The 21,722-nt window shown below is 44.9% G+C and overlaps 1 long non-coding RNA gene across 1 annotated transcript in view; it reads left to right on the forward strand.

The window, feature by feature from the left end:
• Positions 1 to 15,603, forward strand: part of LOC107984703 (uncharacterized) — a 41,297-nt gene extending 25,694 nt beyond the window's left edge. The window contains exon 3 of the long non-coding RNA NR_148060.1: positions 14,069 to 15,603. This is a non-coding gene — a long non-coding RNA (uncharacterized LOC107984703). The remainder of the gene's footprint in view (positions 1 to 14,068) is intronic.
• Positions 15,604 to 21,722: the final 6,119 nt, after the last annotated feature.

Below are 21,722 nucleotides of genomic sequence, written 5' to 3' on the forward strand. Positions count from 1 at the left end.
CCACTAGCTGAGGGGCCTTGGACAAAGCACCTAACGTCTCACTGCTTGGTTTCCCCTCTGTAGATAGGAGATGTTGATAAGGGCAGTCAGGAGGATTGGATGTGTTACCTTAGGCTGAGTGCTGAGGAAGAGGCCTAGTGTACAGGGCATTGAGAAGTCACGTCTGAAATATGAGACATCACTCAGCCTTGCCCCGAGGCTGTTGTGAGATCAAATGAACACTGTAAACTGCAAGGCAGGCAAGGCAGGCAAAGCTACCACGTGGGAGACACTCATGCTCCTCTACACGGAGCCCTCCCCTTTTAAAACCTGCCCTCCAAAGAGGCTCTGGAATCAGCCTTTTGAGCCACACTCCCTGTCATCCAGCTCTCAGCATACTTCCTCCAGCCTCCACACCTGCCACCTGCCACCTTTCTCCTTGGGATCCCCTCTGCCCAGGCCAGCTGTGCACGGAACCCACAACCATGAGCTGCCGGCCCTGGCTCTTGACCACCAGGCTCAACACCCTCCTTTGACCAAAACACACAGTGTGAGCCTGTCTGGGGCCCCACTCACTCAGGACTCTAACATTAGAGTCCTCTGATGCTTGTCTTAGTCCAGAGACCGAACCGTTCATCTTTGTATTCTCTGAAGTGCTGAGATCAGTGCCAGACCCAGAAGAGATGGTTCAGAAACAGTAATCATGATAGTGTGTGTGTGTGTGTGTGTGCGTGTGTGTGTGTGTGTTGGAGAGGGTGGTATGCACAAGGAGCTAGGCTGCATGTAATCCTCTCAGCAGCCCTATGAGTTGCGGACAATTAATATCTCTATTTTATAGGGGAGGGTACTGAGTCATGCACAGGTAAGTGACTTGCCCACAGTCCTACAGGTAAGCAAGAGAACAGAGATTCCAGCCTAGGCAGTCTAGCCCTCAGAGTTGTGCTTTAACCTCCAGCATGTGTGGCCACTCTGGATGAATGGGCATTGGGCTGGATGTTGGATTGGGATTGGATTGGTGGGACATATTGCCCATAGCAGCTCATCAAGCAAGATTTTTGTTGTCCTAACTCCCACCCCCACCTCCACCCCACCCTCTGAGTTATTCTGCAGGCAATTTGACCCCAAGGGGACCCTAAAATGTACTGTAACCCCAATTTGACCCCAAAGGATATTATTGATTTTACTACTCTCTGCAGATGGAGCTGACACATCTGACTACTCTTCCAAGGACTTGGAGCCTATTTTTCCTGGAAGAGTGGATGCATTTGCTGTGAGTCTTACTCAGCTCCTTGGTCCAGTTGCCTTCCAGTGTGGCATAAGGGGTCCAGACTGTGTCCACTGCCCTCAGATACCCATATCTACCTCTGGAGGAGCCAGAAGAAATTACTCTGCACCAGATCCTGGGGGCAGAGGATGGAGAGGATGCTTAAGAAGAATCAAAATGTACCCACCCAAACCCTCTGGAGGTGCTTAAGAGAGAAGCCATTGGAATCACACCTATTGCTTCCTGGCTTGTAATCTTGGGCAATTTGGCTGGCGCCTCCCAGGGTCTTAGCTTCCCCATCTATGACTTGAGATGATTCCTAAGGTTGTTGTTTTTAGTAGCCTTTGAGCCCCATTGTTCTGTCTTCTGACCTTGCATTGGCTCTTAGATCCCCAGGGCCCTTTCCCTTTTCTGTCTGCAAAGGTAGGTAGCACAGCTGGCTGGCTCTTCAATGCAATGTGCACTGCTACAGTGAGGACCCTGGACAACACCTTTCATTGCACTAAATAGCATCACAGTTTTTTTTTTGTTTAATTTATTTATTTATTTATTTTTTAAGAGGAGCATAAAAAAGTATAAGTACCTTGGCAGGATGTTGACTTTGCCTTCCTAATTAAATCTAGGGGAGAATCCTTGTGGAAAAGATGCCAGCAAAATGTATCTCTGAAATTAATTATGATAGCTGAATCAGCATTGGATGAGCAATATCTTTCCTCTTATCTTCCTCTGACTTGGATGATTTTAAAAATTCAGTTATTCATTCTCTCAGCAAACACTTACCATGCTTTTGGGCACTGTGGTTAAGCACTGGGGATTTGGAGATAATAATAATCAGGATGCCTGGCGTTGGGTGCCAGAAGCTAGAGGAGGCATTCTTCATGCATCATCTTATTTAATCCTAACTCTATGAAGCAGGTGCTCTCACTACCCCCATTTTTACAGATGAAGAAGCAGGATGAACACGATTAAGTAACTTATCTAACATCACCAATGGTCAAAGGCAGACCCTAGATTCAACCCAGTTATTCTTCAGCAAGTTGGTAGGGGAACTCCTTACGCTTTCTTTGAAATGGAGCAATTGCCATTTTCTCATTCTTATGCAGTGTGTCAAAACCACTCTAGAAACTCTTTTATTTTTATATCAGGAGTGCAACAGTACTCTTTCTGGGCAGTTATAGCCTCAAGACAAATCTCCTAGCACCCCCTCTTAGTCTAACTGCCATCCCTAAGTCTCTTCTGTCAAGTAAGTCTGTGGCAACCCCCGTAGAGAGACAAAGAGTAAATGCATTAGTGCATCAAAATCTCCCATGTGTTGAGATAAAGGTCTCTATAACATATAAGGCAGACACAAAGGAGAGTCAGCTCCACTTAAGATGATGGCCTGGGCACAAAACTTATGTTAGTTCATATAGGTAACATCAGCTGCTGTAACAACTAAAGTCCCAAGTTCCAGTAGATTAACAAATGCAAATTGATGTCTCAGTCCATTGTGGGTATGATGGCTAATTTTATGTGTTGACTTGACTGGGCTAAGCCATGCCCAGATAGCTGGTTAAATATTATTTCTGGGTGTAGGTGTGTCTGGAAGGTTGTTTCTGGAGAGATTCTCATTTGAATCAATAAAGAAAATTGCCTTCACCAATGTGGGTGGGCACCATCCAATCTGTCCAGGGCCCAAACAGAACAAGAAGGTAGAGGAAGGGTGAATTTGCTATCTCTATTTGAGCAGGGACATCCATCTTCTCCTGCCCTCAGACATCAGCACTGTAAGTTCTTAGGTCTTTGGATAGACCAGGACTTACACTATCAGCCTCCCAAGTTCTGGACCTTTGCATTGGATTGCAACTTATACTGTGGGTTCTCTTGCTTCTCAAGCCTTCTGACTGAGACTGAATTATATCACTGGCTTTCCTGGTTCTCCAGCTTGCAGACAGAAGATGGTGGGACTTCTGAGCCTCCATAACATCAAATTAATATGTGTGTGTGTGTGTGTGTGTGTGTGTGTGTGTGTGTGTGTGTGTGTGTGTGTATCATATTGATTTTGTTTCTCTGGAGAATTCTGATGAATATGGTGGGTACTCTTGTTTGGAGGTGGTCATCCCCAAGGCCATCCAGGTAGCCATGTCCCTCTCATCTTGTGGCTTTGCAATCCCATGGGGTCTCACAGTCCTTTGCTGGATCCTCTGTATCTGGGTAGGAGACAGGGAAAGGACAGGGGCCAACCATAGGAGGCTCCCATGGGCCAGGCTGTGAGTGAGTCCCATCACTTCTGACTCATAGTCCAATGTCCAGAATGCAGAGACCCTGGCTTCAGAGGAGGCTGGGAAATAGGGTATGGCTATGTGTGCAAGAGGAAAGGGAGCAGGTTTGGAGAGCAACTGGTCAGTTTCTGCCACAGGCCTCCACACTCAATCCATCCCATTTTCCTGAAATTGCTTCTCTGCAAGTGTCTGTTCCCATTACAGTGTGCCCTTAAAGGGCAGAGGCCACTTTTCACTGGAATCCCATGCTGGAACACAAGGTCTTGGGCATAAAAGGAGCTTGACACATTTCTATTGGCTGACAGATGAAGGCATCAGTGAAGACTTGGGTTGGATATATAATGTTATATATCCATCCAGTTTTATATAATTTTGGATTAGCATTGTGATTTGCAAATGTGATGCTTACTTGTGTACATGAAGGGTTCTGATTTGGAAAAGAAGGACCTTCTTCCATTGGAAACCAACTTGTTCTTTCGATCAAGCAAGACTCAGCACCGTCATTCATGGGATGGCAGACAGACTATGTAAACTAGCCTGTGTGTTATTTTGGCAATAATAAAATAGGATGGCAAACATCATCATTCTATTCAAAAGAGAGAACCTTTTCTTTGGCAATGACTGTCATTATTGGGTTCATTATGTGGTTGATCAGGAAGCCCCCTCAAGAGTCATTTGCCATTAAGGAAAGACAGGCAAAGGCTAGTGGGGGTGACAACAGCTGCCAAATCTTTTTAAAAGCCCTGAAATATCTAGACCAGGGTTCCTCAGCCTCAGCCCTACTGACATTTTGGGCGGGATCTCTCTTGTGGGGGTGTCCTGTGCATTGTAAGGTGTTTAGCTGTGTCACTGGCCTCTACCCACTGGATGCCAGTAGCTGCTCCACAACCGTTATGACAATCTAAAATCTCTCTAGACATTGTCAAACACCTCCTGGAGGTCAAAATCACTCTGGGCCGAGAATTACTCATCTAGAGAGTTCCTGATGAAGGATGCAGAGGCAAGGACCACATTTCCCAGCTCTCTCTCACACCCTCTGTAAGGAGCAGCATGGATCACCAAGCACTATTGTTTCTGACAAGGCGTTTGCACACTCCTCAGTTATGTTTAAGGAAAACGTGGCTGTGAACACTATCTCAGCTGTCGCTTTCTAGCCCCAGTGCCGAGCAAAAGGTCAGGTTGGAGGGATGAGGTGAGCAGCTCAGGCTGCCTCAAAGGAGGCTGTTCCAGCAAGATTGTTCCATGCCACATGTCACACCGGGTGGCATCCACAAAGGGACCCTTCTGATGGAATCTCAGAAGGGGGTCTCTCCCAGTGGGCCTAGGTCAGTAGAGAGGACTTGGTCATAACATGAGATAGAAAAGCCAGCATTCCTCCCTGGTCACCAGGTGTTGGAGGGTCATCGCCTGGCTTCTCTGCCCCATGACCCTAATTCAGAGAGAAGAGAGCATTGCTCAGTGTAACTCTCTTACTTTAAAAAAGGGTTCTCTGCAACATGACTCTATATTTGGTGTCTCCTTTCTGTTTTCAGCTCAACAACAACCTTGGAAGGTAGACAGACTGGAAAGCATTGGCCCTATTTCATGGATGAGGAAACTGAGACTAAGGTTGAATGACTTTTCCCAAGAAGAACTCAAATCATTATATCATGGACCAGATGAGTCCAAGCAACCCAAGTGTTTCCAGTGTGCAGGCTCCTGTTTGAAATGCAAACTTAGTTGGAAATTTGGGGTTGTTAGATTCCCAGCCATTTGCCATGATGAGCCTGGTGAGGACACAGGGTTTTGCAGAACATGTATGCCTCTCATCCTCCCTTAGGCAGGATACCTGAGGGATGGGTAAGAACCCAGTGGCCAGGGGAGGGGTTGGGGTGCTGGGGACGGGGTGCTTGTTCTTATGCATGTGGTGAGGACAACATGTGCAATTGTTCTTGTCCAGGACATGTTAGCCATCATTGCCCCTCTCCTGTTGTGTTTTCCTGCTACTCAACACAGTTGGTTCTGTTCTCCATAAAACAGTGATGAATCCCTCACAGGGGAATAGGTCTTGTTTTTGTTTTTGAGTAATGTAATGAAAATCTGGAAAGAGTTCACTAGTTCTGGAGAAAAGATAGGCCCTCGCTCTGTGGCTTATCCCCATGCCTATTACCTTGGACGCTTTTGAGTATGCTGTTCTTCAAAGGATGCTCTTGTTTTATTTCAGAGTAATTAGTATTTATTAGATTAGCATTTTTTAATGAGACAAGCAATTAGAACTCAGTGAGCTGGCAACATAACAAAGTAAATAGAGGGCATGGAGGTGGGGGATCCAGCTCAAAGGGAAGTGGAAGGGTCACCCACATCTTTCCAATGGTCCTGGAGGTACAGGGGCAGCAGGACAATGGGACATGTGGCTTATTGGGAAAGTGAGGGACGGAAGGGAGCTCCTATCAGCCTGGAATTGAACTGCAGGCACTGCATTCATTTTCATGCTTAACCCTCTCAACACCCAATGATAAAGAGCTGCTCTCCAGGAATGCCTGGAAATCCCCTGCGTCTCCATTAAACCAACATATTTATGAGCTTTTTTGGTGTATGAGGTCCTTTTATTTGATTATCACAAATTATGAGACTTCTCTATTGTTATCCCTATTTGACAGGTGGGGAAATTGAGGCCCAGACAAGTTAAGGGTCATAAACTTAAAAAAGCAAGTGTTTACTGGCAGAATTGTATGGAAACCCAGGCCTGCCCCTTCCATGGCACCATGCTGTATCTCAACCTTGATCATAATGAGGTGTGACAACAAGAAACGGGGTCTGGGCCAAAAGATAGACGATGCATTTTGCGTGGGAGACAGGTTGCTGATGCATTCAATGAAGAAACAATTTCCTGACATTTTGCATTTGGTTGTGGGCAGTGTAAGGTGAGGGAGACAGAGACTAATTAGATTTCTGGGAAACAGAGAAGTGGGTAGCAGCAAGATAGGAAGGAAGCTGAGAACTGGAAGGAGGACATATCCTCAGGGTGCAGACAACTGCGTGAAATGGGGGGCAACCAGGATGCCCTTTAAGAAGGAGAAATTGAAGCTGAATGTCGGTCTAGGTGCCCGCCTAACTAGAATAACCAGAGAGACTTCAGAGAAAATGAGAACTGGGGAGTGACAGTGACTTCTGGCACTCAGACAGTGGTAAAGCTCATTGAGATGAATGTTTGAAATCCAGTTCTCTGCAAAGCCAGGAAGGAGACCATGGGGATCCCTATTTACTTTCTGTTTCTAGGCTCCATTGTGTCTCTCTTCTCAGAGCCATAAGAAGAATTTCTGAAGGCATCAAGTGCCTTAATTAGATTGGCAGGGTCACAGCCTCTCTTTAACCCTTTTGATGCACTCAAATGACCTGTTTCTTTTAAGTAATTAAGCGTATGCAATGTTTCTTATAGAGGATAAATCATTTTCTTGCTTGATCACATTTTCTACTTTGGCCCTTAAACTGAGAAATTCTATCTTTTTGGAAATGATGGAAAGAGGTTGTATCTGTTAGTTCACTCATATCAATTCATGACTCCCATAGATAGGAAGGGGACTTCATTGGTCTGGAGGAATGGGCAAAGGGACTGAGCATAGGTGTCTTGAGTTCTTCTGGGCTCTCCCTATTGGCATATCCAGTCTAAGATAATGTGTTTTCCTTTTGCTCCTGTCCTTCCATGGGGTAAGCAAACCTAGGTGAAGCCCAAATCAGTCTTGGCAACTCAAGACTTAGCCCCTCTGTGATTAATCAGGTAGGATTAGCCCCTTTCTTAGCCCCTCTGTAATTAATCAGGTAGGAGTCAGTTTCAGTTCTCCTTCAGCTGCTTGGAGAGGTGTCTGCTCTGCATATCTGGCTTTCCCATTGTGTATATTCCATGATCTTTATGCTTCCCAGAGGAGACGATAGCTATGCTGAGATGTGAAAAATTACTGGGAATCAGCAAAGAGAAGATGCATTGGAAGAGCCATCCAAACAAAGGGCATGGCATGAGCAGTAAGGAGGTGAGACATGGGATGACGAAAGTAGGGACGGGCATGTGTCTGCTGTTTCCACAGCACAGGAGGTGAGGCGGGGAGTGGTAGGAGTCAGACTGGAGTGGTCAGTTTGGTCAATATCATGGCATCCTTAGATGCTGAGCTCTGGAGCTCTGACTTTATGATGTAGACTAATGAGTCCTAAAATACTTTTCTTAGAAAGCCAGTCCTGTGAAATGCTCCTTGGGAAAAGTCCTGAGGCCAAGTATGTTTGGGTAATATCTTAGAGATTCCCAATAAACAGTAGCCCATTGGGCACTGAGAAGTCCTCCAATGAAGAAGACTATTCAGTTGATTAACTTGGTAACCATTTTTAACATTCTGAAAAGCCATTTTTAAAAAAACCGCTTTGGTAAACACTGCTTATGGGCAATCCAGGGTCTTTGAAAGGTCTTAAAGAAGAGAGTGATTCTATAGGATTTATCTTTAACAGTGTGGAGAATGGATTTGAAGGAAACAAGGCTGTGTATAGGAGACCAGTGAAGCAAGGGTTACAGGAATTCAGGGGAGAGATGCTAAGGATACACAGAGCACTAGGAGATATTAGGAAGTAAGCAGTTTCAGAGACATTTAGGACATAAAACAATCAGAACCTGGAAATCTATTGGATGTGATGAGTGAGGGAAGGAAGAGTCAAGGATGACTTCCAGGTTAAATCAGGTTGATGGTCATGTCATCAACTAAGAGAAAGAGCACTTTGATATGTTGACTTTGAGGAGTCAATGGTATGTCAAGGAATAGATCAGGTATGCAGATAGATTTGAGTCTGGCTCATGGAAGAAGTTCGGGTTGATGATACAGTCTTTGGAGTTGTCTGTATTTAGTTGGTGATTTGAATAAGAGCCCCCAGACAAGCGTATGTGTAAAGTTAAAAGAGTCATGGTCTACTACTAAAACGTTAAGGAATAACTTCAAGGGGCAGAAAGAGGAGGAGGTACCTATGAAGAATTTTGAGAAAGAATGAAAGTGGTATGAGATAAACCAGAAGCTGTTGCTCCATAGAAGTCATGGTGGTAGGAGATTTAAGAAAAGTACAGTGACTCACAGAGTCAAATCTAAGAGACAGGCATAGTGAGATGAGGCATGGAGGAAGGATGTGGCCATTGGCTGTTGGAAGCTCCCTGATACCTTTCTGAGAGTGGTTCCAGGAGGGCAGTGGGAAGGAAGGCTGATTTTAATGGGCTTGGAAGTGAATGGAAGTCAGTGAATGTCATGGAAGGCAAGTCCTTTGACAAGTTGGGAAGAGAAAAATATGAGAGATGGGATGACAACTGAAGTGAGAAAGATCTAAGTATGGAGCCAGTGAAGAAGGGGAGGCTGAGGTGCAGGAAAAGACGGGACAATTTATGGAACAACAAGAGCAAAGATGGAATTAGAGAGTTGAAAAAGGACAAGTGGAAGGTTTTGACAACAGAGTAGGGAGCCCAACTGAGGAAAGACCATTAATTTTAGTATATTTGATCAATGTAGTTGCATGATTTTCCTCATGCTTGGCAATCTAGCATAGAAATAGAGAAGGTGGGGCACTGCATTGATGGAGTGATGGAGTTTCATCAGCTGGTTGCAGGGCACAAGAGAGGAGCAAGGGAATTAAGGATGTTGGTGAAAGAATGGCTTAGAAAGTCCATGTGGAGTAAAAGCACCAGAGGGATGAAAAATGGGCACAAACAATCCCAAAGACTGGGAGAAAAAGGACAGGCTGAAGGGGGAAGAGTGCTGATAAGGCCAATATGAAATAAAGTCTTGAGAAGATGGGATAGTTAGATCAGAGTATCTAATACTAGACATTATGACTTCAGAGGGAGGAAGGTCCCAGGGATGAGGAAGTAAAGGAAGTGGCTCAGAGAATAGATACTGAAAGGTCAATGAATTGGAGGCATAGGTGTTGCAGGGCCTGCTGCAGGGATGATGAGGCTAGAATAGATGACTTCCAAGGCCCCCGCTGGGTTTGCGATATAATGTGCTGGAAGGTGTCAGCCAGCATCTCCAGTGCTTGAGGTATACCTCCACCTACTCACTCAACATCTCACCCAGATGTCACACAATCACCGTGAACTCAACTGGACAAAAATTGATTTCATTGCATTGTCCCTGAAGCCTGCTTCCCTTCCTGTGCTCCCTCTCCCAGTTAATGGCCCACCACCTATTCAATAACTCAAGTCAGAAATCTCCCCAACACAAGCCTCATCATTTCTATCTTTGATATATCTCACAGTCCAGTGCTCTCCTCTTCGTGTCTCCCCAATACTATTACCACTTCACCCTCATGGGCCTCTGCTCTGTTACAGTAACTGCAGCCTGCCTGGTTTTCCTACCATGGAAAGCTGCCCCCACTCCCTCCATTCTGCCTTCAAGGTGCTCCTACAGTGATTCCCTTAAACTGTTACTCAGAGCATACCATTTTTCTGCTCAACAACAGAAGTTCGAACCCTTAACCAAGCATTCTATGCCCTTCAGTATCTGCTTCCAACCTCATTTCCAGCTTCATTGTCTGTATCTTCTATTCACACATCTTCAAGTTCCAGCCGAAGGAGTCTATCTCCTGTCCATGGCTTCTGAGTGTTCTAACTCTTTTTCTTTCTTCAGGCTGTTACTTCTGCCTAGAAAGTCTTCTACCTCCCCCAGTATGCCCTTTAAAATCCCACCCCCTTTTTTAGGACCAGTTCAAATGTCACCCCTTCCATTAATCTAATCTCCGTTTGCCTCTCTCCAACTAAAAGTAATATGCTCCTTTTGTACATTCGCAAAGGATTTTAATGAAACTTCATACAGTTACAGCATTTTGTCTGGGCTTCTGGTCAATGCCATGCACATCTCACCTGCCCTGTAACGCTGGGAGCAATTGGGAGTGGCAGCCAAGTCTTCATGTTTTTCCACATTGCTTCCTTTGAGGTAATGGGGGGCCTGTAGTTAGAGCCAAGTGGGAATCTCAGCTTCACCGCTTGGAAGCTGTGTGACTTGAGTACGTTTCTGAACCACTCTGAGTTTTAGTTTCCTCAACCCTAAAACACGGATAATGATACTGACCTCCCAGCATTGCTGTGAGAATTAAATGAGGTAGCAAAGGCAAAGCAATGCCACTTGCCTGGCACATTGTAGGTGCTAACTAAACACCTCCTTTCCCTATGAAGTCATAGTTTTGAGTATGTGAAAAAATAAATGGAATGAAGGGAATCAGTTGTTACCTTTTGGACTCTCTTTTGGAGAGGACCTGTGGTATGGCCTGGATCTGTGTCCCCACCCAGACCTCAAGTTGAAATGCAATCCCCAGTGCTGGAGGTGGGACCCAGTGGTAGGTGATTGGATAATGGGGGCAATTTCTCCTGGTTTAACACATCCCCCTAGTGCTGTTCTTGTAATAGAGTTCCCAGGAGATCTGGTGATTTAAAGGCATATGGCACCCCCGACCTGGGCTTTTCCTTCTGCTACAGCCATGTGAGACATACCTGCTTCCTCTTTACCTTCCACCATGATTAAAAGTTTCCTGAGGCCTCCCAATAAGCCGCTATGCTTCCTGTGCAGCCTGCAGAATCATGAGGGAATTAAACCTCTTTTCTTTATAAATTACCCAGTCTTGGGTATCTTTTATAGCAATACAAGAATAGACTAATACAACCTGTTTACCAGGCAAGGGAAAGAAGCAAGGGGGTAGGACCAAAGAAGATTTCTCCTTTTTTACTTCCAGGATTTTCTTTAATGAACATCTCTTATGTTTTAAGTTAGAAAGCATTTCTATAAGTGTCTGTATATACACAAGAACATACATATAAGTATTTATATATATAAAACACTTGTAAGTTTATAAACCCTTATATGTAAGTATATATGTATACACGTTTATATATGTATATGTGTTTATATATAACATATATAAGTATATATGTGTGTTTGTAGACATATATACACACACACACATATATATATACACATATATATATACACACACATACTTATTTTATATTAGAAAAGCCTTTGTTCACTGACCATTCCAGAAATGTTTTGGGCTTGCTCTTGAGTTTTCATCTGAAGACTGCCAGCTAAGCCTGCTTTAAAATGATCGTCTCTCTGAATAGTCTTGAAGTTACCCAGATCCTCTATGGAGATCCCGCTCTCCCCTCATTTTCACATTCAATTTCCTTTCATTTTTCTCTAGGGCAACTCCTGCAATGAGAAGTTTTAATTGTTGTTCTCCACCAGGATAGGAAAGGGCACACAGAGCATGTTTAATATTTTGTTTTTCCTTTGGGAGTGGGTGATGGACGAGATGCATTCATGTGCTAATTCATCCCCAGATCATGTTGCTGCCATTCTCTTTGAGGTGGGGAGAACCATCATGCTGAGGATCCTGAGATATGCAGGGGCCACTCAAAAGCCCTAGAGAATGAGAGGTGCTGGGTGGGGATGGGGGCCAATGTGAGTCTGATGTGGGATGTAGCTGAAAGAATACTGGTGAGGAGACAGCCCCATCTGTGTTTGGTCCCAGCTCTGCTGTGTCCTTACTTTGTGACCTTAGGCAAATGCCTTATCTTTCTGGCCCTCAGCTTGGTCATTGGGAACATGAGAGCACAAACATCCATTTCCTAAGCCTCTTGGAGGGCTAAGCAAAGGTCATTAAAGACCCCAGCCAAAACCATCATTCTCAGCAAACTATTGCAAGAACAAAAAACCAAACACTGCATGTTTTCACTCATAGGTGGGAATTGAACAATGAGAACACTTGAACACAGGAAGGGGAACATCACACACCGGGGCCTGTTGTGGGGTGGGGGGACAGGGGAGGGATAGCATTAGGAGATATACCTAATGTAAATGACGAGTTAATGCAGCACACCAACGTGGCACATGTATACATATGTAACAAACCTGCACGTTGTGCATGTGTACCCTAGAACTTAAAATATGATTAAAAAAAAAAAAGGAAAGAAAAAAACTCATAAAATAAAAAACATCACAATTGTAAATAAGGACAAAAAAAAAAAAAAAAAAAAGAGAGAGACCCCAGCCACAGTTTCTATGCATGAAGTAAAGGCTCGATAGATGAAATCCCGGGCACCCATGGCTCCTCATCTGACTGGAGAATATGCCTTTTCAGAGAATGCTGACATTCACGTGACATTCAATTTCAAGGCAAGCACCTACTAGGCATGTCCAGATGATATGGACATGTCTGCCTCTGTCCTCAGGACATGACAATCTAGTGGAGCTTGGGGAAGGATGAGGAGATATTGTCAGTCCTCAAGTTCAGAAGAGTTGGCTGGACCGAGCAGGGTCCTAGGGAGTGCGTCGCAAAGGCGGCAGAAGACTCCAGAAAGCAGCAGGAACAACCCATGCCCAAGATCTGACGCCAGAGGCATAGGCTTTGTTCCTGAATATTGACATCCTTCATTCACAGATGAAGAAACAGAGGCCCGGGAAGGTTCAAGTGTCCTATCCAAAGACACAGGTTCTGCCTGACATACGGAACTCAGTAGCCACTTCTTGTATAAGTTAGAAAACTGTGATGATGCTCTTACTGCCAACTGGTCTTCAGAAGGTTTCTGGTCCTCCCCACCCTTCCACAATCCATTCTTCCTACTTGATTGCATCATTGTCCTAAGGAGCTGCCCTCATTCCTGCATGCTCTGGTGCAAAGACCTTTAATGGACTCCCACAGCACATGCGAGTCCTGGGGACAAAATCCAGGGCTCTGCAAAGCCTAACTTCAACTCACCTGCCCAACCTTACCTCTGATTACAAAGTTCTTCTTGGTGGTCTCCTCCTAAGCACTCTAGGCTCTGGATTGCTATAACCTTTCATCTCACAATCCTTGTCATTTCCTTCCTCCATGCCTTTGTTTATCTTAGTACTTTTCCTCACCATTTCCTTTGTTTTGCAAGCTCCTCCTCAGCACCTCCTGCCTTTGAAGTTCTAGTTAAATGTGACCTCCTTGGAAAGAACCATGTCCTGTGCTCACAAGGCACTGCCTGTCCCTCTGGAGTTTCCCCTTCACATCTTGCCATGGAGTGGAGCCATTTGTGTTCATTACTCACTCATGAGTGAGCTCCTCAAGAATGGGAGAATGAGGCTGATTTGCCTCTGTGACCCCAACTCCCACCCAGGGTTTGGCATGGAGGAGTTGCCCAGTATGCACTTACTGAATAAATAAATAAATGAGCATAGTTCCTGTTCATCTGCCAGGAGCTTGGGGTAAACAGGGCATGGTGGGGTGGGATGGGGTGGTTGACTGGAGGAATTGAGAACATATGAGTTGCTGAGAGGAGTGGGCTACAAAGGCTAAGAAGGAGGCTGGGCTCAGACAAGGAGCTATGGTGAGAATCCGGACCAGCCTGGGAGTTGTGTGTCATAGGTGCCATGATGGAGGTGGTGGGTAGACATCATAATGCCTGTTAGCATGTAATAGATGCCTATGATGTGCCCAAACTTGTATTGGATTCATCCCATGCCTTCCTTCATTTGCTCCTTATAATAACCCTACAAAGCAGGTTTCATTATCACCATCAGTTATTATTATTCTTATTTTTCAGACAAAGAATTCAAGACTAAACTGGGCATGGTGACACGCACCTGTAGTCTCAGCTACTTGGGAGGCTGAGGCAGGAGAATCACATGAACCTGGCAGGCGGAGGTTGCAGTGAGCCGAGATTGTGCCACTGCACTCCAGCCTGGCCACAGAGCGAGACTCCGTCTCAAAAAAAAAAAAAAAAGAAAAAAAGAAAAAAGAAGAAGTCAAGACTAAGAAGAGTGAAGTATGAAGTAATTCACCCACAGACACCCAGCTAGTGAGTGGCAGACCTGGAAGACAAACTAGTTCTGTTTGGCATCAGAATCTATGCTGTCAGCCACCTCACCACATTCATGTGACATCCAACAAAGTGGTGCCTTCACCTGCTACTAAGTCTTGCTAGGGCTAGTTCCAGAGCCAAGACTATGAAGTGGACAATGATCTATGAAGCGCTAAGTGAACAGATGTCATGTAAATAGCTTGGATCTCTACGTGCATGTGTGCATTGTATATGTTTACCAAAGACCTTGTTACAGTGTTTTTAGGCATGGCTCACTTTATAAAGGTCATCACAGTTGGCCAAGCTATCTGGTATTTATTACTCATTTGATACTCACACCTGCTCAATGATGCTGGTATCATTACTCTCCATAATGATTTTCCTATCATTTTACAGATGGGGTTCAGAAAGATCAGGTGGTAGATCCATAGTCACACTCTAGTTAATTGATAGGACTGAGAATTCAATGCATGCCCACTGCCTTCTCTTACAAGTCTTGGGGTATTTGAGTGTAATTCAATAATGACAACCCCTTCACTGTCCAAAAGGGGTGAATGAAACATCAAGCTGTCACAAAGGCTAGGTTGGAGGGCATGGCTTATATCCTTGGGTAAGTAGGCTTACTAAACTTAAACCCTAAAGTTGAACTGACTTAACTACCCCGTCCCAGCAGCTGGAGTGGGACAGGACACTGGGTCTATATGGAGAGGGGTCTGCCCAGATTAGCTTTAGGACGTGGAGAAGCAGAGAACTCATGTTCCTACAAACAGGTTCACTCTCAAGATAAAGACAAGGAACCAAACTCAGCCTGCCTGCTTCATTTTTTCATATTTGCCAATCAGATAAGTCACTTCCGCCCCCAGAGAGATTTAATAAAGGAGCAGAGAAAGACTTCTAATAAAATTCCCTCCATATGGAAGGAAAAGGAGACATCGGGAGTTACGTTAATCATGCTCATTTCTTAACAGTGCAAATATCAAGAGTTAGAAATTAGAGTTCCTGGCTGGGTGCGGTGCCTCACTCCTGTAATCCTAGCACTTTGGAAGGCCAAGGCAGGTGGATTGCCGGAGCTCAGGAGTTCGAGACCAGCCTGGGCAACACGGTGAAACCTTGTCTCTACTAAAATACAAAAAAATAGCCAGGCGTGGCAGCGTGCACCTGTAATCCCAGCTACTCAGGAGGCTAAGGCAGGAGAATTGCTTGAACAAGGGAGCCAGAGGTTGCAGTGAGCTGAGATTGCACCACTGCACTCCAGCCTGGGTGACAGAGCGAGACTCTGTCTCCAAAAAAAAAAAACAAAACAGAAATAAGAGTTCCCACATGACAGCAAGAATCACTGAAAATGCTGGACCCACTGTCAATGCTGTATTGTTGCAAAGAAAATGTTTATCTTGCCTAACTTTAAAGTCACACATGCCTGGGAACTTCCAACTAGAACACAGCTGGCAAAGCAGACACCCTCTCCCTGCAGCCTCGTTGAAAATGACCTCCTTTACATTTCCTCATTGAGAATCTGCCCAGTGAGGACTGTGGCAGAAGAGAGTCAGGGAGAATTTTCTAGCTGATTAGGGTTAGAAAATGAAGACGAGGGCTCTCTTGTAATCAGCAGGAAGCTATGATAGAAAAGAATGCCTTTTAAATTTGAAGTGCAAAACTAGAAAATAGAAAATTATTAGGGGGGTTTGATATGAAGTTTCGGAATTCTTTTCAAGACTGTGTGTTTTGAAGTTAAGATTTTAAATAATGTAGGAAGGTACAGTCTATACTGATGGGTTCAGGATATGCTAACCCAAAATATGGCACCTTGGTGTTTGAGAAAATGGCGGAAGCAGGAAGGTCATTCTCACCATCCACCTCCCTTTCCCCCTCCTGAAGCAGGTCTTCTTTGAAAGGCCCCTCCCTGTAACCAGAAGAAAGGAACATTCTTACCTTTGAAGTCACAGGGTCACAGAGAAGAATCTGAACAGGACTTACTAAATTCTTCCAGTTTGTCACCATTTGCTCATACCATCTTTGTCCAGTTATATTTCTCCAAAGCTATCCACTCTTCATCAAACTTAGCATAAAAATTGTAAAACCTTACACATTTCTTCAGGTCTTCCTTTTCCTTAGGAAGCCTCCCATGTCACATGAAACTTAAATAAAATAAATCTGTATGCTTTTCTCTTGTTAATCTGTCTTTGCGAGGCCTCAGCCATGAATTTAGTGATAGATGAATTTAGTGATAGATTCTTCCTCCCCTACAGTGCCTAGAAATGCATTAGGTTAAATGTAATAATAATTGAAAATTGCCAAAGTGTCCCTGGGTATTTATCCCTTTTTAAAAAAATCAGCTTTATGGAGGCATAATTTACATTCAATAAAATTTACCAATTTTAAGTGTATAATTTATAAATTTTGACAAGAGTATGCGGTCATGTAATCACTAATAATAATTATTGATTAGAAAAATATCAAACTCTTCCTATAGTGTTTGTGTCTTTTATAAAGCTTCATGAGGTTATTCAGTGTTCTCTAAGACTTACCAGATTTAACTAATTTTATAGAAAATTCTACTTTTGATTAAGGAGTGATTGAAAACCTTCCTTGCCATCGGCGTGCACTTTTTTTTTTGAGACAGAGTCTTGCACTGTCAGCCAGGCTGGATGCAGTGGTGTGATCTTGGCTGACTGCAACCTCCACCTCCTGGGTTCAAACGATTCTCCTGCCTCAGCCTCTTGAGTAGCTGGGATTACAGGCGCCCGCCAACACGCCCAGCTAATTTTTATATTTTTAGTAGAGACGGGGTTTCACCATGTTGGCCAGGCTGGTCTCGAACTCCTGACCTTGTGATCCGCCCGCCTTGGCTTCCCAAAGTGCTGGGATTACAGGCGTGATGCACTTTTAAACTGAAGCCACGAAGTAGGGCAGCACAGCCTGCTGCAAGGGAAAGTTCCTCAAAGGGGGAGAAAAAACATTGGCTTGATAGCAAAGATTATAAACCTAAATTAATGAAATAGCTAGAAATAGTTGAGCAGAGGTTGGCGGCATTGAGGAGTGCTGCTTCCCACACTGCACCCACACCCTCTCAGGATGGCTCACACACTCATCCCAGCGCACATTTACATAACACTTCACCGTTAGAAAGTGCTTTCACAACCATTTTACAGTTTAGAAAGTGCTATCACAACCATTAACTTATTTAATCTCTTCCTGCTTGCCCTGAAGCTCAACAGGCCCTGAAATGAATTTACCCAGAGCTGGATCATAAAAATATTCATCTCTGTTTGCCTGCATCTCCCTTACCAGGCATGGGGCTGTCTTAATGGCAAGGTGGATGGCTCCACTGCCATCAGGCTGGAAATGAATCAGGGACTATTCATCATTTCTTGGGTTCTGTCCCCACCAAACACTGGGTGCCAGGGGCTAATGAACGAGGGAGTCTGATCCAACTGTAATTTGGAGCTCTGGGCTCTGCAGCCAAGTCCCCGCTGCCCTGGCTGGGACTTGGGAGAGTATCGAAGGATGATGCAGAAGAAGGATCCAAAGTGAGTTTTGAGAAAAAAATCTTCACATTCTTCTTCTAAAGCCTAATTGTGGGGGTAAGGGAGAGTCCTTGGGTGACTAAGGGCTGAAGATCTCCATCTTCAGAGGACATGTTCTGCAAGCCTAGGACATGCACAGAGATGAGACGGGGGATGAATTATGCCAAACCTCATGGCAACTCCCAAGTAAAACCAGGGGAAACCAGGTTACCGTGTATGTCAAGGTCACCCAGGGGAATGACTTAGGAGTCAAAAAGCATGGATCCTACTGCCCACTGTGGTGTCAAGTTGCTGTTCACCCTTGAACAAGCCTTTTGCCTTCTCTGATCTTCAATTATTTTATTTGTAAAAGGAGGAAAGTTGGTGATTTGATTTCTGTGTGTCTTCTAGAACTGAAATTATAGGGCTCCATGGAAGGGGAGCTAAGGGAGGAGATATGGAAAAGTGGTTTGAATGGTGGGCTGAAGAAGAGGGAAGCTTCTGTTTGTGCACTGTAGGTACAGGAATCTCAGTACCACAATCTTCTTTTCATCTCCCGATGACTCTAATCAACCCCCCTCTCTCCTCTCACTCTGTGTCTGTCTCTGTGTGTGTGTGTGTTCATCCTCCCTAAGAGCCTCTTGGATGCTTCAAATGTAGAACCCTGAGAGATTGCCCCAGTTTTCAACATGACAGGTCAGTATACATGGCAAGAGCTTTGGAGCAAGCAGATATTGATTCAAATATTCCATCCTCACTAGCTGGGCATTCTCCACTACTTCTCCCTTCTGATCCATTCCTGCAAGGAGGGATACGGCTACCTATCTTGCAGGGCTGTTGAGAGGATGAGATGAGATGCATAAGAAAACCACTTAACACGTGGAAGCACCTTAATGGGTGACAGTTATTATTAAATAATAATAACATTTAAGTAGTCAGAGAATCAAGACACTGACATTGTCCCTCCATTGTCCCCATTGTATTCCATAGGGGCTGCCAAGGCAACACCAGAAATGTAGCTTCATCATTTATCCCTTCCTCCCCATCCCTCTGCAAAGGGGAACAGGCTTAGAGCAGAAGCCTGGGAGTCATGCTCCAGACACATGCTTACCAGCTGTGGGAGTGTGAGCCTCCCAAGCCAGTATTTCCTGTGTTTGTGTATTTACTCATTCACTTGGCAGGCATTTGTTGGGCACTGACTGTGTGCTGGAGGGGTGCTTGTAAGCCCCAATGTTGTAACAAGGATGTGTAGCCCCAGCTCTGCCAGCCTCAAGGGTTGACATGAGGCTCTGAGGAGATGATATCTGGGAAGCACTTGGTGGGATTGAGCATTGTGCATTATTATTGCTATTAATGAAGTTATTACTATAGTGATACACAAGGCGGGGTATAATAAAGGGTAGATAAGACAGGAATGGCCAGAGAGACTGTGGTGGGAGGGGCTTATTTAGGGATCCAGCTCCATGCACCAGTAGGACTCCCAGCTGGGGAGGAATCAGGCAGTAGGTTCGTGCCCCTGGAAGGGCAGGAACAAGCCCTGATATTGCACATCCCCCATCCCTAGTGGCCAACTAGATGCCAGGCACAAGGGGGTTCCCAGAAAGGATGGAAGGGAGAGATGGCTGTGGCAGCTGTTTCAGCTGAGGGAACAGCATAAATAGAGGGGTACGGGCAGGAATGCTCTATGCATGTTTGGAGGAACAGACTCCCCTGTGGTCTGAAGGAGTCTGGATGTCCAGGAGTTCCTAAGGGATTGTGTCATTTTCAGAAACAGGATCTTCCACATCCCAGCCACTGTGAGGCCTGTAAGGTGCCCTTTCACAGCAAGTGTCCAGTGTTCAGCAATTTGATCCAAGGTGCAGTTTGAAGTGGTTGCAATGCATGCTTCTTGCTAATTGTCTAGCTCTGTTACACCATGGAATCTCAGTCAGTAAGACACCAGAGCTAACGAAACTGCCTATCTGAACACTTAGGAAAAAATAACGTAGCATTTCCAATCATTACTACATTTCAGGCATTGTTCTAAGCCTTTTATTATATATTAGTCTATCATCACACCCATTTTACAGATAAGGTCATGGTGGCATACAGAGATTAAGTGAATTGTCTAAAATCACGCTGCTGGTGAGTGTCAGAGGTGGGATCTGAACCTAGGCACCTGGATTCCAAAGGCCACCATTTTAACTGCTACAGCATATTACCCTGGACAAAATAGATGTGGTTCCACTTGAGCTTACAGACTAGTGGTGGAGAGGTTCAGAGATTCAAAATCATTGACAAAATCAATTTTAAAGAAGACAAGTGTTGAAACAGCGATTAGTCTGAGCGACTCTTTTTGGATAGGGTGGTCAGCGGAGGACTCTTTGAGGAGGGAGCATTTGAGTGAGAGGTGAAGAGTGAGAAGGGGCCTCGGAAGAGTGTCCGAGGGGGAGGGACAGCCCGAGGCAGTGGAAAGCTTGGCGTGTGAGAGGAGACAACGGAAGGCTGAGTGTGGGGTGCGGTGAGTGAAGAGGGTGAAGAACACGAAGTGGGAGTGGTTCTGATCTGACAGGGCTGCCAATTCCCAATCAGCAGCTGATTAGAAGTCATGAACTAGGAGAGGGAAAGTTCAACACAGGGAATTAGCCCACAGCAGGTAGTAATGGGGGTGAAGCTGATGTCAGGGGAAACCCGACCAGCTACATAAAGCACACACAGACACAAGCCACAAAGCAGCCCCTTACAGAAATGGCTGATTCTTGGGCTAGAAAAGGAGGATGCAAGATAAGCCTGGAGCATCTTAGCTTCCTGCAGTGTCAGAGAGCAAGGAAGTGTGCAAAAGGAAACCCACAGTGATGAGGGGATGTCAAAGGGAGGCAGGAGCCAACTGAAGGATCTCCCAGTGGTCAATGCTCAAACAATTTGAGCAACGTGATAAATAAAAGAGTATTAAATTATAATCCAAATTATAGAATAAATGTCCATGAGCCTATACTGATATAAATATGTGATTGAATAAATAAATAAATGAGACACCACAGGCACATCTCACATGCAGAATTTCAAATAATTTATACAGATGCTCTGCCCTTAAGAAGGTAGAGCATGGCTGACTCTGAGAACACTGCCTGGGAGCAGGAGTTAGCCCTGCTCTGCAAGGAGCAGCAAAAATTAAAAAAAAAACAACAAAAAACAAAAGGCCGGGTGAGGTGGCTCATGCCTGTAATCCCAGGACTTTGGGAGGCTGAGGCAGGCAGATCATGAGGTCAGGAGATTGAGACCATCCTGACTAACACAGTGAAACCCCGTCTCTACTTAAAATACAAAAAATTAGCTGGTGTGGTGGCACGCATCTGTAGTCCCAGCTACTTGGGAGGCTGAGACAAGAAAATTGCTTGAACCAGGGAAGCGGAGGTCGCAGTGAGCCGAGATTGTGCCACGGCACTCCAGCCTGGGTGACACAGTGAGACTCTGTCTCAAAAAAAAAAGAAAAAAAAAGAGAAAAGAAAAGAAAAAAAAATAAGGTAGAACATAACTCTCCAACTCCCCACTCCTTAAGTGTGGGCTACACATAGTGACTTCCTTCCAAAGAGCATAGCATGGACAGGGGGAGGGAGGAACGAGTAATTTACAATTGAGAAATCTAACAAGCACTACCATTGCCAGGTGGCCAAGATCAGCATCCAGAGTGATGCGTTGTGAGAACAGTATGCACTCTCCCTTGGTATGATGTGAGGACCTTTGTGATCTTCTCCCCAAAACCTCATAACCCCAGTCTAATCACGAGAAAAATATCAGAAAAATCCCAATTGAGGGACAGTCTACAGAATACCTGAGAGTAGGCCAGGCACAGAATACCTGAGAGTAGGCCAGGCACAGAATACCTGAGAGTAGGCCAGGCACGGTGGCTCACA

Source organism: Homo sapiens, chromosome 14 (assembly GCF_000001405.40).
Source record: "Homo sapiens chromosome 14, GRCh38.p14 Primary Assembly".
NCBI lineage: Eukaryota > Metazoa > Chordata > Mammalia > Primates > Hominidae > Homo > Homo sapiens.